The sequence below is a fragment of the Homo sapiens genome, chromosome 18 (assembly GCF_000001405.40).
Source record: "Homo sapiens chromosome 18, GRCh38.p14 Primary Assembly".
Classification (NCBI taxonomy): Eukaryota; Metazoa; Chordata; class Mammalia; order Primates; family Hominidae; genus Homo; species Homo sapiens.
Window position 1 is genome coordinate 67,517,499 of NC_000018.10, and position 17,601 is coordinate 67,535,099.

General features: G+C 38.7%; 1 long non-coding RNA gene across 1 annotated transcript in view; it reads left to right on the top strand.

The window, feature by feature from the left end:
- The window catches only part of DSEL-AS1 (DSEL antisense RNA 1), a 383,074-nt gene that overhangs the window by 953 nt on the left and 364,520 nt on the right, over positions 1 to 17,601 (top strand). The gene's annotated exons all lie outside the window — the stretch shown is intronic.

The window sequence follows — 17,601 nt, forward strand, 5'->3', positions numbered from 1 at the left end:
GACAAACAAGTAGAAGGAGCCTCTTATTTAAAAATGGGACCTGGTATTCGGTAAAGACCTACATGCAGACAGGAGAAGGCAGTGTGCCCCGGCTACTACGACATGTGAGTGCAGTGCCAGGTCGTGGAAATCCTAGAGCAGGCTGGGACTCCTGTTGCACTCCACACATGGAGCTTCTCACAGATAGCTGAGATGACACTTTGGCATAAACCAACCCAAGCTCTGACCTCAAATGTAAAAAATAATAGCTTAGTAGTAATAAAAATACAGGGAAATATCAAGCTTCACAAATGAACAATTCCATTCTCAGTTGGGGATTAGTAACACATTCAGTCTCTTCATTTCCCATACTATTTTGGTAATATTTAATAAGATATATTTTAACATTTTAAAAATAAATGTCTTGCTTAGATCATTTGCTGCTGAAAATCAAACAGTAGACGACTGCTAGCAGAATAAATTTCAAATCATTTAACTTTGAGGTGAAATGTGGCCTCTAACTCCTCATCACTCTTCTGTTTTGGCCCCGTAGTAACCCCTAGCCCAGTCCAAATAGCCACACTTGCTTTTGCTTGGGTGCTTCAGTAACTATGCTTATTCCATTCTTTCCCTCACAGTGTCCTTTACCCAACCACCCCACTTACTAGTTAAAATTCTTCTGACTGTTGAAATTATCTGATCATCCAGGTCTCAACTCAGATGCTTACATTCTTCTGTAAATAACTCCTAAGTTTCCCTAGCCAGAATGTATTACTCCAGAACTATATCATTTGTACCTATATTCGGCCGTTTAGGTTGTTTATTTTCTGCTTTCTATTTCAACTGGTTGACTCCTGTACCCTATTCAAAACTCCTTCAAGTCATGAGTAGCACTCAAGTCCCCTTTGTAAGTACTATATCTGCTTTTGAAATGAGTTGAACCTCGAACAATTGGGCTGATACAGAGCCTCGTCTCCTCCACTGAGGTTTATTCCCAAACAAGGATCCTCTTCTGACACAACTTCCTGTAAAATCTGGATTGTGCCTCTACATGGCCCCTGATAGAGGAAGAGGACCCATGGCCTCCAACCACATTTATGAGAGAGTAGAGTTGGGGGAAACGGGGAGCTGACTCCAGAGATTCCTATCTGTTTGCAGAGGGGAGCCTAGAATTTAGGGTTAGTAAACACAGCTACTAGATGTACAGAACATTTCTCAGAACAAAGTGTGGGGCAGGGTTATTTCTATGGATTCAAAGTGTCTCATGATGCGAGGGCAAGGTGAGTCAGAGAGAATTAATGCGCGAACATCTGCCAGGCAAATATTCTTCCAATGTTGTTTTCAGATTTTGAAATATCAGTATGATCATTTTCACTTTAGAGAAGAATGAATTCAGGTACCGACATTGTGGCCTTTCAGCTCTGCCCCATGCATCTGTGCTGAAGCAGTGGGGATGCAGCTAGCCTCCCAGCATTCTCAGATGGGCTTTCAGACTAATTCATTTTGAACAGACATCTTTGCATAGTGGTAAAATGTGAATGCATTAAAATAAAACAAGAGCCACAACTGAACAATTCAAATCATTGGCAGAAAGGGTGGTAGGTAAATGGCACTGTCAAAAATGAAGAGAGTCTTGTTTTCTGTGAACTAAAAATGGATAGCTCCAATTATTGCTCCTTCCACACATGAAGATGGTACAAAGTTAGTTAATTATAAATAATGCATCCGACCATAGAAGGGATGAGCTATATGCTATGTTATTGTACATTAAAAACCTTTATGAGTGTGGCAAGAGACACATGTACCAACAGCTGCTAAATTCAGAATCCTGGAGCAGTATCTTATTTTAATGTAAGTGAAGAACAGTGCAGTCTATTGCTCTGGGGATTTCTCTCTATATAAAAGGATCTTAAATCTACATGAGATTTTACTCCGTGATTTCAAAGTACTTATGAAAATCTGTTTTCTTTATTTGCCTATCTTTCAACCTACCCACAACCACCTATCTTACAACAGAAACAATGCTTTCTAGAGTAGATTCTCCAGAACAGAAGCCTTTCTCGCGCTCCTTTCCTTCCTTTCTTCCTTCCTCTCTCTCTCTTTTATTTTTCTTTTAAAATTTTATTTCTCAACATCTATCCCAGAGCCTGGCACTTTTTGAAAAATGTTTGGTGAATGTTTAACATGAATTATCGCCCCCATTTTATGACAGAAGAGAAAAAGTCATAAAGGTCTAAAGTGGGTTACTACATTCTAAGCAGAGTCACACACTCTTTCTCCTGACTGTGCTGAGAAGCCTCTTACCACACAACCCATAATTGGAGCTATGCCTTGAGGTGACTTAATTCAAGTGAAACATGAGACTGGAAAGTCATACAACATTTTCAAGAGGATTTCTGCATTAATTGTATATGTTAAGATAGGCAAATTCAAGCTCTGAGCCTGAGAACGATAAAGTACAAGCCATAAAACAAGCCTAGACACTACATAAAGTCCCTGATCTAAAATCACATTTGTCCATGATCTGTTATTCTGGTGGTTTTTAAATAAATGGGGCCAAGACATTCAAGAACTAGTTGCTGTGCATTCAGCAACTCCTATGCACAGGTCTCCAATACCTGGGCTTTCAAGCAGCATAGCCATTTGAATATGGAGACGGCTTTGTTATTCTTCTCATAGCATAATCCACCTTTGCTACAGCTTTGGCCGTGAAAGCTCAGATGCAGATTTCTCGAACCACTTACCAGGGCCAGATGTATATTATATTGATCCACTAGCAGTATTAGAACTAGTGTCTGCCCCAGAGGTTAGGGATATAGCATCTGTAACTGTTTAGAAACAGACACCAAACTTAAGCTGCAAATTTTATTGCCCAGTTGGCCAGCAGTAATAGGCCACACCAATAATAAAGACAAAACCACAAGTTTAAAGCAGGCAGTAGAGTCTGGAAATACTTTTTTTTTTTCCGCAATTGCTTTGAATACAAAACATCTCAAAATGACAGGGATTTTGCCTGCAGAGTTGCTAATGAAGATGTGGCTAAGAGTGTTTCTTGAGTTTGTTTATCCAGCTGCACAAGAGTCAGTATGACAGTAAGTAGATTTATTAAAACTTAAAAATACCAAAGCCAAATTCTGGGGGAAAAAGTTTCCCCATAAGTCTACTAAAGCCTTGAATTCATAAATGAGAAGCTTTATTGCTACCATATTTGCTTACATACAGTTTAGCTTTTGATATGAAAGAAAAATTTAAACAAAGTAAAACTTGCAAAGGGATCATAAGATGTTTTCTCCAGGGCTCTTCCACCCTCCCTTTCCCCTGGCCTGGTATCCTTACACCAGTGTTTCTCAACAGGACATTTGGCAATGTCTGGAGAAATTTCAATGTTGGTCTCGGTTAGTGGGAGGGACTGCTGGAATCTAGTGAATAGAGGTCAGGATGCTACTAAATAGCCTGCAATGAACAGGACAACTTCTCCTCTCCTCCTGCCTCACAAGTCAAAGAATTATGCAGACTAGAAAGTCAGTACTGCTGAGAATGAGAAACTCTGACCCATCCCACTGACTCTAAAAATTGATTATGTGCTAATTGTTGGTAGTTCAAATCAATTCCTAAATTGTCCCCCTGACTTGCCAATTACCTATTTGCAGTTTGTTCTAGAGCCAGCCGTTATGGCTAAAATGTATGTGTCCCTCCAAAATTTACATGTTGGAACCAAATTGGTAGTATTAAGAGGTGGAGCCGTTTGGGAAGTCCTCTTCTCATGAATGACATTAGTGCCGTATAAAAGAGGTGCCTTAAAAAAAAGGTGCCCTAGTTTCCTTTTGGCCTTTTGGTCTCAGTCTATGTTGTGCTTATATAACAGAATACCTGACCCTGGGTAATTTATAATGAATGGAAATTTATTTCCTCACAGTTTTGGAGGCTAGGAAGTCCAAGGTCAAGGTGCTGGCAGATTAGGGCCCAGTTTCTCTACTGCAAAGATGGCACCTGAAAGCTGCAGCCTCCAGAGATGAAGGACATTATATCTTCACATGGCAGAAAAGGAGGAGAAAGAGAGAATCCACTCCCACCAGCCCTTTTTATAGAGCATTAATCCATTCTTCATGAACTAAACAGGTTTCTCATTTGGCCACACCTCCTAACACTGTTGCATTGGGGAATACGTTTCCAACACTTGGATTTGGGGGAACACGTTGAGACCATAGCACCTTCCATCTCTTCCTCCACATGAGGACACAGTGTTCATTTCTTTATTGCCTCTTCCATTATGTGAGGATTCAGCAAGAGATATCATCTTGGAAGCAGAGAGTAAGCCCTCCCCAGACACAGAATCTTCTGGCACCTTGATCCTGGAATTTCCTGCCTTGAGAACTCTGAGAAATAAATTTCTGCTATGTATAAATTACTTTATCTGTGGTATTTCATTATAGCAGCAAGGACAGACTAAGACACTAGCTTTCTCTAATTTATTCACAGATGACTTTTTGTTGTTTACCAGCTACTGGCTCCATTTTTCTTCATTTGACCTAAAATACTTCTAAACCTAGCTGTCTCAGCTCTTATAAAAACTTGAGCTATGCCTACAGGCATAATTGGCAGTAAACTAATTACTACCAAATAATATTTGGAATGATGTGTCTTTTTGGGTTATCAGAAATGCCCTTCTGATGTTAATAAGAGAATGTCATTTTACCCACAACCCCTGTACATATCATGCACCCCAATTACCTTTACTATCAGATTTATTTCCACTGGAACAGTGTTTTTCAAATTACAGTTCTTAGACTACCAGTATCAGAAAGTTCATGGTGCTATTAAAAATGTCAATTATCAAATCTGTCTCAGCCTTATGGATTAAGAATCTCAGTGTGTAACCTGGTATTCTGTACCTTAAAATGTTCAAGTGCCTAACAAATTTTGAGAGTCACTGTTCGAACATAATTCTCATTCTTTTCTCCTTGCCACACACACCTGTGCCTGAGGGTTTGTTTGGCTACATAACAGAAACATTCTCAGGCTGGCAGAAGCATAAGGACTGATTAGGATTAGGAACTGGTGTTGCAGAATAACTCAGAAACATGTATGTAGCTATTTTGCAGAACGTTTAATAGTCTTGCCTTTAAATTATTTATTCACATGTGAGGAAGTGAGATATTAGAGTCAAGCAATAAAGGCAAATAAGATTTATAAAACAGAAAAGAGAAAAAAATGAATACAACCTAGAAACAATGAAAGTTGTATTTTGGGGGGCAAGTTGATTAAATGGCAGTTAGCAGAGGAGTTTGTTGCCCAGAAGTGAGAGTTTAGCTGTAGAGCAGAAGTGACAGGTTCCTCTGTAGAGTGTTGGCCACTAACCCGCCATCAGCACCTGTATCTTACTCAGATCTAGCCAGTATCATATTTCCTCAGTAGGCTTCCTTGCTGGAAAGCCACTAAAAGTTTCCTTTTTCCATCCATGTGAGGCAGGGAGACTTCTCCCTCTGCTCCTGAGCATTTACTTCCTTCTCTTTTTCTGAGAATCAATTTCACCTTCTCCTTCATGGTGATACAACTCAACATGGCTATCCTTCAGCACAAGTTTATATCACTTTGACTCCACCATCGGGCAGAAATCAATTGTCTTTTTTGAACCTCAAATCCAAATTCTCGGAAAAGATGATTTCCTAGCAGAGTCAGCGTTTCATCATGACTCCAGCAGCAATGGAAAGCAGTTCAGGGTCATATAGTTCAAATACTGCTACAGGGGCTGACATTCGTGGGTTCGAGATATCAATCATCTTAGGAAGAGAGAGCTGGCTTATACCTTAAAAGTATCTATTATAAAATGACACAAACCAGAGAGCCATGCACCCCCAGGGAAGCACATAAAAGCAGTGTATTTGGTGGTGAGTAGTTGAGGTGTGGGAGGTTGAGGTATGGTGGGATAGTGAAAGGTTGGGGGGGAGGAAAGGTTCAAAAATGCCCACGCTTTATGTGAACAGGCTGACTCCTCTTTCTTATCCCCTGAAAATTATTCCTTTTGTAGAATGTATTAAATTTACCTAATTAGAAGAATCACCTAGAATTACTTGTTAAAAGTACGAGATATGAGATCCAAAACCCTACTTGAAGGTAGAGTGAGGAAGGAAATATAAGAAGCCTGTATTTTTAAATTCCATTATGATCCTGCAAAATTAACAAATCACCATTAGATAACCTTTTAAAATACTGCCAGCTACCAACATCGCCCTAAACCTGCTGCCCCCACCAATAACTGAGCCCCTGATAACCACCACAGTCTAGTTTTATGAGATCAATTTGTAAAAAATCCACATGTGAGTGAGTTCATGCAGTAGTTGTCTTTCTGTGCCTGGCTTATTTCACTTAACATAATGTCCTCCAAGTTCATAGATATTGTTGCAAATGGCTAAATAATATTCCACTGTGTATATGTACCACATTTTCTTTATCCACTCATCTATTGATGGACACTTAGGTTGATTCCATAGCTTGGCTATTATGAATAGAGCTGTAATTAACATAGCAGTGCAGAGATATATATCAGTGTCTCTTTGACATACTGATATCATCACAAAAATAATAACTATAAGTGATGCATAGGTTAATTAGATTTAGTCAAACTGTAATCTACATATACTTCAAAACATGATATTTTACATGATACTTACAATTTTACCTGTCAATTTATTTTATTTTATTTTTCTAATTTTTTTTTTTTTGAGACAAAGTCTCACACTGTTGCCCAGGCTGGAGAGCAATGGCACGATCTCAGCTCACTGCAACCTCTGCCTCCCAGGTTCAAGTGATTCTCTGCCTCAGCCTCCCCAGTGGCCACCACACTTGGCTAATTTTTGTATTTTTAATAGAGACAGGGTTTTGCCATGTTGGCCAGGCTGGTATCAAACTCCCGATCTCAGGTAATCTGCCTGCCTCAGCCTCCCAAAGTTCTGAGATTACAGGCGTGAACCACTGTGCCTGGCCTTACCTGTCAATTAAAATAATAATAATAATAATGAAAATAATAATAATAATAATTGGCTAGCTACTTAAAATAGAACATAATTTTGTTTCAGATTCAAAGACGTAAAGTTTGATAGAGATGGGAGGTAGGTAATTTATGTGGGTGAAGCCAGCCAGGTGCTTGTTGTCATGTGGAACGTAAGGACCCATGTCACGAGATAATCTGATTTTGCAAAGAAAGCCAGAAATCTGAACTTGTATGGGAAATTATCTGATTTTTCTAATGGCTTAACTTGTTTTGAAAACTCTGTGAATGCCAAATAAAATGGATTCAAATCATAAACGGCAAGGTTTTGACTTCTGATTGTGAGCTGGCTGCATGAAAATAAATTTCCTGATTTTGCATATGCTAGTTCAGCACCCCAGGAATTCAACTTTCCATTTTAATGCTGGGAAAAAAAATACTATCTTTTCTTTTAAGTTATCTACTACTATAACTCCTCTCAGTCTGGAACGGTCAAGGACTGGTCATGTATTCAAGCAATCTTATTTATTCCTGCAGTTATGTATTAAGTTTTATTTCCTTAATTCAATAAATATTCACTGAGTGCTCAATAACGCACTGTGGAAGACGCTGAAAAACCCCAAGGGGAAAAAATATTCTTCGCCAAATGGAGCTTATAATCTGTGGATAGAAAAGGCACAAAAGGCATGAATTATTACTTCATTTTTTCTGTATTTTAATCATTACTTCATCATATTTAAATGGCTTTGAAGGTTCATCTATATACTGATTCCAGTATTTTCAAGAGCACATCTAATTTGATGAGGATGGAAGATTGTTAATGACTCAGAAGCTGGGAAAATAGGTAGAAACTCAAATGTTGTAAGAAATCACTAGAATGTTTGCATTTTTTCAGAGGTTCACTCCTTCTGTTCTAATACCTGGAGTCCAGCCAGGCACAAAGCAAGCTGGCTGACTACTGCAGAAAGGAATGCTGGAACCTCTCTTGCTGACCTGCTTCCAGAGTTTCCAGCACAGCTAGCCAGAGACTTCCTATAGACAATGAGGAAATTCAAAAACAAAGAATGTAGTAGTTTGGCTATTTCTCTAGGAGCCCTTGGGGATGAGACTGAGCCATTTTCCTGCAGCTGGCTGCAAAGCAGGCCACTGAAAAAGATCAGTATGAAAGAACAAGGCATACTGTTGGTATATGCGTCACTGTGGGCCAGAGCTTTTTGTCATAGGATTCAGTCAAACTCAAAATGCAAGATGAAAGTCATCCTCTTTGGTAACCGTTTTAAAAATAATACATAGAAAAGAAGTGAACAGAACCATGTTTTCCAAAGTCCTGATGCTAAAAATCACAAAATCTTAATAGTTCCTGAGCTGGAAATGTGGACTGCTTGGCCTGGGATCAAGTCTAGAATTTGATGTTCTTGGCAGGTACATCAAGTGGTTAGTATCAGCAGAGAAGCTAAGGAAATACTGAAGTCGAAGGATAAAGGATGATTCCCTCCCTGTAATGGCTTTACTCTGAGTTACCTACTGTGTGTTGTCCTGGGCTTACTTCCAGGCAATTCTCATAGGTTTATGGTTACATGCTGGATTTTGGGATGAGATGATCCTGAGTTTGAATCCAAGCTTTGAGATTATATTGTAAGTTTCTGGGAGGTATTGGGCCAGTTACTTACCTTTTCTGAATATAGGTGTCCTCCTCTGTAAAATGGATTTACAATATTACTAACTGTATAGAGTAGTTGAGAAGCTTAAATGAGAAGAGGCAGGTACGTTTCTCATTACAGAGCTTTAAGGGTTGTTGCACTTTAAAAGCAATTTTACATACTTTATTTCATTTAGCCTTTTTAACAATCATGTGAATGATACGTGATTAACTCAATTTTGTGTACCATAGAACTGAGAAAGAGGAATTTGGAATCGAAAATATCATAACTTAAGATAGTGTGACAAAAATAGTATTCCAGTGTCTACCAACTTGCTTTCTGAACTTGTCTAATTTTAAAGACCGAGAATATTTGAAGGAAACATGCAGCGCAGTTCCTTCATTGTACTGGTGAAGAATCTGAGCTCGATGTGTGAGAGAGAAAGAAGGCCTGCTGGACCAGAACACAGGTTTCTTTACTACCTATCTGCAGCTGTGCCGCTACATTGTAGATGATGCTATTTGTTTTTAAGCATATTCAGTGATATATTAAGTTGCTTCTTTAGATCTTAAAAAAAAAAAAAACAACTCATAAAGTGCCGGGCACGGTGGCTCACACCTGTAATCCCAGCACTTTGGGAGGCCGAGATGGGTGGATCACGAGGTCAGGAGATTGAGACCATTCTGGCTAACACAGTGAAACCCCGTCTCTACTAAAAATACAAAAAAATTAGCCGGGCGTAGTGGCGGGCGCCTGTAGTCCCAGCTACTCAGGAGGCTGAGGCAGGAGAATTGCGTGAACCTGGGAGGCAGAGGTTGCAGTGAGCCGAGATCGCACCTCTGCACTCCAGCCTGGGCGACTAAGCAAGACTCTGTCTCCAAAAAAAAAAAAAAAAAACCTCATAAAGTAACAATTCTATATGCAGCTTATATTAGAGCAGTTTTTCAAAGAACTTTCTAGGACCCAAAATTTTTCTGGGAGCATTTTTAAAAGCCGAATATCTATATATCCATTACAGATCCTTTCTGAAATAGAGTTTTGATCGGGGCATAAAAATTTGCATTTTTATCAGGTTTACCAATACAATATTAAGAATGAGCTAATTAAACCATTCTGTCCTTGGAGACAGAAATTGGGCACTGTCCTTCTTTTGTCTTCCCATCAGTTCCAGCCAGAATTTTAGGCACATACTTTCCACTCAGTTAACTCACTGAATTGAATAGTGGTGGAATCAAATTAAGGTCAAATGTTTTAATTATATAAAAATCTATGAAGCACATGTATAGAGGAATCATTTTCAAAGATATAATTTTTACAATTTACTGTGAATTACAGGCATAATTATCCTGCCAGATATACTTGTCTGCCTAGCAAATATATGTATATATGATACTTGTGAAATTTGATACATACTTCGCATATGTATTATATATAAGAGACAAAGAGGGATAGAGAGAGGAGAAAATTAGCTTTCAGGCCAATTTTGAAGAATGTTATTTTGGATATTAGTCATCTATTGCTGCATAACAAATTGTCACCAAACTTGCTAGCTGAAAAGAAACAGAAGTTTATTTTTTCACACAATTTCTAATCATTATCAATCAAAGCAGCTTAATTAACTGAATGGTTCTGGTCTGGGTCGCTCAGAGGGTTATAGCCAAGATGTCTGTATTTTAACCATATTACCTTGTGTGGGATATGATGAGGCCAGATGTAGATCGAAAAAGAGAAACAGCTGAGCATGATGGATAAGGTGTGAACACTTTGGGAGGCTGAGGTGGGAGGATTGCATGAGCCCAGGAGTTCAAGACCAGCCTGTGCAACATAGTGAAACCTCATCCATAAGAAATATTTTTAAAAAATTATCTGGTCATGGTAGTGTGCACCTGTAGCCCCAGCTGCTGAGGAAGCTGAGGTGGGGAGATCCCTTGAGCCCAAAAGTTAGAGGCTACAGTTAGCTATGATCAGGCCACTGCACTCCAGCCTGGGCAACAGAGTGAGACAATCTCTAAATAATAGTAATAATTTAGAAAGACAGAGGGAGAAACTGGAGGGAGTCCTACAGTTCTGCTATACTCACAGCTCACTGGGGAGAAATAGCAGGCCATGCAGTGCTGTTCACAGAAAGCACTGGGCATTGGTCATGAGGCAGAGGGAGAAAGGGGATTGGTGGGCAAAAGTCCTTATTGTTCTTTCTGGAGGAAGGAGCAGGCCAGGCAGGGTAAGCAGGCTTGTGATCAGGCGGCTTGAGTATGTTCAATGGGCTCTGGTCAGAGGGACTGTTCCTGATTTCCTGGTACTTGGCCCTGAGTGATTAGGGTTGAGGTATAGTGGCACAGATTGTGAGAGCCCAAGAAGGGAGTTGTTTGGGATTTGGACTTACTCTCTCAAGAACAACTGACTGGACACTAGCTAGGGTCTCAAAATGGTTCAGATAGCATTTTAAAAACTATATCACAGCTTGCCAGGCCTACAGTTTTCTTAGGTCTTGAGTGGGGTTGAAGCAACTGCTTTCTATAGGGTTCAACCAGTGGCTGCTGGCATGAAGCCTCTGTTCTTCTTCACATGGACCACTCCCTAAGGCGGCTTGACTGTCCTCACGGTATGACCCCTGAAGTTCTCCAGAATTAGCCTTTCGTGAGAGAGAGCGAGGAGGAAGCTACATTCCTTCGCTGGCCTTGTCTCAGAAGTCACAACCTTTTACTTCCACATTACTCTGTTCCTCAGAAGCAAGACATTCAGTCCAGCACACATATGTTAAGCCACCCCAGCATGATGGTCACTATTCTCTCAAAAAAGAATTGGCAAGGATATTTTCTTCCAGATTAGGGTTCAGGTAGTGCTGATTGGAGAGAAGAAAAAATGTTCAGTTTATTTTTTATTTATTTTGGTCGTTACGGTTTCATTATTTTTTGATATTAAAAAGTCATGGTTGAAGAAAACAAAGGTCATTTCTTTTCATTAATTTCCTATGTGATCATTAGGTAAATTCTAGAATAACATAATCGATTATCACTTTATAAAACCAGGCTGGGTGTAGTGGCTCACACCTGTAATCACATTTTAGGAGGCCAAGGAGGGCAGATCATACGAGGTAAGGCATTTGAGGCCCACCTGAGCAATGTGGTGAAACGTTGTCTCTATTAAAAATACAAAAACTATCTGGGTGTGGTGGCATGTGCCTGTAATCCCAGCTACTTGGGAGGTTGAGGAAGGAGAATCACTTGAACCTGGGAAGTGAAGGTTGCAGTGAGCTGAGATCATGCCACTGCACTCCAGCCTGGGCGACGGAGGGAGATTCTGTCTGAAAATAAATAAATTAAATAATCATCCATGTAATAAAACATTATGGAAAAATATGTAGTTAAACATATTTTTATGTTTATTCATTCATTTATTCAGCAGATTTTATTACAGTTCCTAGTATGTGCCAATCTCAGTGGTTAGCAATGGGTATACAATAGTAAAAAGAAGAACAGGGTTGCAGCTCTCATTGAGTTTATGGTGTAGTGCAGGAAAAAGTTCCATTGACATATTGACACTAATATATATATATAAATAAAAGCTGTGTTAAAGTGAAAAAAAATTATGCTACTTTATGGTAGACAGGAAACGTGGAGGAATAGTTAGAGAAGGCTTGTTGGAGAAAGTGGCAATTTGTCCTTGAGCTAAACTGTGGGAAGGGGTTGAAAAAACTCAGACCTTCCATAATCCATTGAACTTTATATCATATTTTCTAAAAGTTAAGCAATTTCAACTTACAAAGAGATTCTCAATGTTTTGCTACCTCAGGCAAATAATGTTATCCTTTTAAACATCTTTAATATTTTAATCCCCTGTCTCATTAATAGCCTTTTTTATAAATGTGAATATTTTGCTGGACAAATATCGTGGCCTCTTTCAATATATGTTATCAGAAATTCTATAAAATAATTATTTTGACATTTACTAGCTTATAATCACAAGGTCCATTTCTCCCACCGTCAGTGAGTTTGTGGAAAGACACTATTGCTTCCTGAGAGTCATGGGGTGCCATCTTCCCTAGTGGACACAAGGAAAATATGGGAGAGAGCCTTGGTTATACTTACATGTTGATGGAAATTTCTCTTTCTATGGGTTGGGATACCTAGTGTGGTGGTCCAGGCCTTGACCACCAATGGTTCCTACAGTGCAACTATTATACTGGAGACACTTTTGGTTTTTAAAAATCAAACCCATGGTGTGTTTTCCCAGCAAGGGGTGGGGAGAAGTATAAGTTCATGTGGATGGAATAGGAAGGGCAAATGCCTGTAGTGGGAGGGAGGCAGGCTCAGAAGAAAAACAAAAATAATTGGTTATCTAGATAGAAGGAAGGTTAGGATAATGTGATGTGATGGAAGACTAAAGATGTTCAACCATGTAAGAGTTAATACATAGGTTTATATAGTATGGGGTTGTATTAGCTTTCCCATTGTATCTGGATGGAAGCAGCTTAGGATAATGTGACATGATGGAAGACTTAAGATATTTAACCGAGTAAGATCTAATACATAGGTTTATAATCAATCTCATTTTGCCCAGGGTAGTATGGGGTTACAATAGCTTTCCCATCTTAAGTATTGGTAGTGCTTCCTGCCAATCTCAAACGTCTCTTGGTTTGGATGATACATTTTATAATCATGTTATATATGTTAAAGATTTTGGTCTTTGTCTTAACAGTAAGAAGCTGTTAAGGATTTTAAATATAAATTAACATGAATATCAGATTTGTGTTTTGCACATATCTCCCTGTCTATACTATGTAGAATAAATTACCAAGGCACTTCCAAAGAGACTAGTCTATTGCTGTAGTTCTGGCAAGATACGGTGCTTGAATCAGATTGATGGCAGTGAAGATGGATGGATGGGACCTAGTTGGAGAAATGGGCTGTCAACTCTGCACTGTAGTCCTTCCATGAACCTCTCCTAAACTGATGTTACACTCCCCATGACTAGTAAATGCCCTTTACATTCTCTTAAAAACCAGGACCCCACTAGCACAATCAGACATGTTTCTACTTAATCTCTAGAGGATAAATTGTTCTTTTTCCTTGAAAACTAAAATCAATAGACAGGAATTCCCTCATTGTCCAGCTATCAAACCTGCAAGTCTACCTACATCTGCACAAAGCTTCTTTCCTTCTCGGATTACAATATGGGAGGTATCTCTCTTTTTACCTAAAGTCAATAATAAATCCACCTCTGATTTGGATCCTAGAAATTATCTTCTCATCTCTGCACCGCACTCAATCTCCAGATTTTATCCCTTCTCACTATCTTTTTAACCCAAAGCATTCTGGTGTCTCCCCTCACCGTTTCCTGAAAGGGCTTCTTCTGAGGACATCAATGACATCTATGTCATTGAATTCAATAGGACTATTCCAATTCTCATCTTACTTGACCTCTCATCAGCATATGATATTGTTGTTCATTGTACGTCTTTGAAACTGTCATTTACACTGGCCTGTGAACAGTAACTTTCCTAATTTTCACCTCTACCTCCTTTGCAGTCCTTACCTATTGGACCCTCAAAGAGCCTTAAGGCTCCTGGACTGTCTCCCCTTCTCACTCTGTCCTCTCACTATACAATCTTATATATGACCACGTCTTTAACAGCCATCCATAGATTAATTTTCTACTTTTATATGTCGAAATCTGGGTAATCAACTGCCTTTTTAGTAGTACCAATGGAATGTCTCAAAAATCAACCCAAAAACTCAAATGGCCAAACTCAAATTTGCAAATTCCTCTTACTCTAAACCTGATCCATTTCCATTCCCTTGTATTTTGGGAAGTGTCACATACATCCAGTCACATAAGCCAGAATGCCAGAATCTTTTATGCTTCCATTATCTCATAGCTTATCTTTCAAAATGTTCGGCTAGCTCTATTCTCTAAATATTTAAAAGAGTGGTATTTGCTGTACTCTCTGATTTTCTGCAGTAGCAATGAATTGTGTGGGTACAGTCATGGAGAAAGCAGATTATAAAGTCAATCCAAGATTAGGTTTCACCTTGGACACAGTACAAGGAGACTGTGGTATTTGCAGCAGTGCTACTGAAATGATGTTCCATGAATCTATCTGTATACAGAAGGAACTATGAATATGGCAAGCTTCTGTAATGAATTTCTGATGCGGCTGACAAATGATCCTAGAGAAAGAGCTGTACAAGTAAGCTGCAGAAAGAGGAGGTGTTTTGAGAAAACAAGTGTATCAGTCCATTTTTATACTGCTATAAAGAACTGCCCGAGACTGGATAATTGCCTCACACAGTTCGGCGTGGCTGGGGAGGCCTCAGGAAACTTACAATCATGGCAGAAGGCAGAGAGGAAACAAGGCACCTTCTTCAGATCTGATAAGAACTCACCTATCAGGAGAACAGCATGGGAGAAACCACACCATGATTCATATACCTCCACCTGGTCTCTCCCTTGACACATGGAGAGGAGATTATGGGGGTTAAATTCAATATGAGATTTGAGTGGAGACTCAAAGCCTAATCACATCACGATTCTTTCTGTTTCTTATTTTTCTTGCATTCACATTTTTAAATTTCTAGTCAGACTCAGTGCTAAAAATAGGCCAGTGAACCAGAGAACTAAATCCCTTGATGCCTGGGAGGCTTACCTTCATGCAAAGCTAACATACAATACCTACATATACAAAAATATAAGGTTTTATAGCAACAAATAACAGGAAGGTAATAAAGCAGATTAAGAAGCAAAAGAAACACTGAAATGCTAATTTAGAGATCCTTCTTCTGGGTGATATTTGAGCCGGGACCAAAAGAAGTGACAGAATAAGGCAAGAGAATTTCAGTCGATACATCAGCTGAGACACAGGCCTGGAGACAGAAGTGCCTAGTGAGACTGAGGAAAAGCAAGGAAGCCAGTGCACCTGGAAAGCATTTGGAGGATGTGGGGTTGAGGATTTGGAGAAGTAACTAAGGAGCAGATAATGCATGGCCTGCGTCCCTTGGTAAGGATACTAAATTGTGTCCTCGGTGTGTTAGGAAGTTACTAGAGTGCTTTGAGCAGGGGATCAGTAAGATATGAACTATTTCAAAAAAATTTCTCTGACAACTGTGTGAAGAATAAGCTATGAAAAGAGCAGCATCAGGAAAACCCAAGCAGGATGTAGAAATTAGTAATTTTGCATGACGTAAAGGTCCAGAGCATGACCAGAGATGGAGTAGAGGATAAATTCATTGGAATGTGGTGTTCAAGGAGCTTAGAGGCTGTGAAAGTTTCACCCACACAGAAGTGTGCAGGAATTGGATGGGAGTATTTCACCTGTGAGGAGGAATCATGGTGAGGTCCCTAATGAAAACCATGAGGGACAGAATGAATTGAATAGGTAATACCCCAAGAGCTCAAAAACAAAAATAGACAAATGGGACTATATTAAACTAAGAAGCTTCTGCACAGCAAAGGAAACAAGCAACAGAATGAGAAAACAACCTGTTGAATGAGAGAAAATATTTGCCAATTATTCATCTGACAAGGGACTAATATCTAGAATGTACAAGAAACTCAAACAACTCAACAGTAAAAAATCAAATTACTCCATTAAAAAGGACATGGAAAGACGTGTACTTAAAAAGACATAAAAATGTACAGCAGGTATATGAAAAATGCTCCACATTGCTAATCATCAAGGAAATGAAAACCAAATGACAATGAGATATTATCTTACCCTAGTTAGAATGACTATTATCAATAAGACAACAAATAAGAGATGTTAGTGAGGGTGTAAAGAAAACTCTTATACACTATTGGTGTGGATGTAAATTAGTACAACCACTATGGAAAACAATACGGAGACTTCTCAAAAAACTTAAAATAGAACTGCCACATGATTTAGCAATCCCTCTACTATTTATACAAAATAAAAGAAATTAGTATATCAAAGGCATACCTTCATCGACATGTTTATTGAAGCACGATTCACAATCAAGCTAAGTGTCTATCATTGGACAAATGAATAAAGAAAACATGTACATACACAATGGAATAGTATTCAGCCGTAAAAAAGAATGAAATCCTGTCATCTGCAGCAGTGCAGATGGAATTGGAAGTCATTGAGTTAGCTGAAATGAGCCAGGCACAGAAAGACAAATATCACATGTTCTCATTCACGTGGGAGCTAAAAAAGTTGATCTCATAGTGGTGTGGTATAGAATGATAGATACCAGAGGGTGTGTGGTTGGGAAGCGGGCATGAAGAAAGGTTGGTTAATTCGTACAAAAATGTATTAGATAGAAGATATAAGTTCCAATGTTCATAGCAGAGTACAGTGACTATAGTTAGCAATGATGTATTATATATTTCAAAGTGACTGGAAGAGTGGACTTGAAATGTTCTCATTCCACAGAAGTGATATGTACTCCAGGTGATGGATACTCCAAATACCCTGATTTAATCATTAAATATTTTATACATGTAATAAATACATGTACCACATAAATGTATAAAATATTATGTATTAATTTTAAAAGGAATCTTTGATAATAAGTGTGGCACATATTAAACATTAGACTTGAAACATCAAAAATTTAATTCAACTCTGTTTTTTATAAAAAAGATACATCGGTTTAATAACTGCTTTTCTTTAGTAAAAAAAGTTACTTTTAAAAAATGGATCTCAACCTCATGTAAATTAGCTTTTATTGTTCCCTTAAAATCAATTTTTAATACTATTCTTAATGTCATTTAAAGATTTTGTATCTACCATCAAAAGGGGTAGAAATATCAGTTTTAACCAAAAAGATACAAAGACCACCAAAGTTTACTTGTGAAAAGGAAGTCGCCTTTCCCTACAGTGAATTATCATTAACGCCATTGCCAGAACTTAAGGTTTCACATTATGCCTGGGCAATGCTGATGGTAGCTTCCAGTGTTTGCTGGTGAGAGCCTCTGGATCGTGAGGTCCACAAGAGGAAACAAAAGGTTGCATGTGAATTCTACATTTTGAAA